At 31.3% G+C, this 1,133-nt stretch overlaps 1 annotated feature.

The window, feature by feature from the left end:
* Window positions 620–789: an enhancer, noted in NCBI's record as "experimental_39355 CRE fragment used in MPRA reporter constructs". NCBI's record gives its function as "activates a minimal promoter by MPRAs in K562 erythroleukemia cells, with activity observed for the non-introgressed 15:36662818 variant allele {active_cell/tissue: K562}" and the evidence as "EXISTENCE:reporter gene assay evidence [ECO:0000049][PMID:34662402]".

Here is a 1,133-nt window from a genome sequence, read left to right on the forward strand (position 1 = left end):
AACTTATGACTTATGAAGAATACTGAGAAAATCTAAATATAGTGAAAAACAAATGACTGTCACTGATAGTCAGGATAAAATATTTCAGCCTTGTTTTTTAGAGGATGAGGTTATTTTACATATCCCAAATTAACCTCAACAGGAAAACTGCCTTTTTTTGGGGTAATTCAGGAAAACAGAATGAAATTTATGAATAGCAAGAATATGCAGTCATTTAAGACAATGGACATTCTTTTTGAAAATTTTTTTAAACATCAACTTGAATCGATTAATGAGAAACAGAGGTAGACAAAGCCCAACGGGATCTGTCTTTCCCAGGCATATGTATTCTTCCTGTTAGTAGGGTCAACATGGGGAGAATAAATAGCAGTGAGCAAATACTTCTTTTTAAAATGATACTGTGCATTACAATTTATTACTAGAAGATAATTTGTCAAATGGAACTCCATTAGTAATTTTTCCTTTCCAGAATGATATAACTTTGAAAAATGAATATTATTAAATACAGGAAGTAACCTAATTCACAATGAATTCATCTTCATCATTACTGATAATGATAATCACTCACAAGACATATCCTGATGTCCTTTGCCTATTCATTCATTAACCAAACTGGTAAATCATCACTTAAATACATGGATTACCCATGAATATCAGTCATATGTCCCTGTAAGCTATCCAGCTATGTTCCACATTTTATCTAACGGGTAGGACATTGGTTGAGATTTTTGATATATTTGTAATTTGGGGGACAAAGCTTAAAGAATCATTATAACTTCTAAGCACTTAATTCTAAGTAATTCAGACTGAATTTCTCATAATGTTTGTCAGGCAAAAAAGAAAAAGCAACTTTGATATTTGGGAATTTCACAATTCTGAAATATGTGACACACAGTTCTTAAAGCAATGATTCATCCTCTAACAAATAATACAAATGAGTTTATCTATTATTTTGAGTCAACACATTCCTCCTGACATATATTTCTTCTCAAATAGCCTAAAGTTCCTTTCCAATATGTTAAACAACCATTATCCTCCAGATCTGAACTAAAAAAAACAAGGAACACATCATTGAAAGGTCTTGCCATGAGTCATTTGACAATTATCTCAGAATAATTATCCTTGGAATCCTG

This window comes from Homo sapiens, chromosome 15 (genome assembly GCF_000001405.40).
Source record: "Homo sapiens chromosome 15, GRCh38.p14 Primary Assembly".
Lineage (NCBI taxonomy): Eukaryota > Metazoa > Chordata > Mammalia > Primates > Hominidae > Homo > Homo sapiens.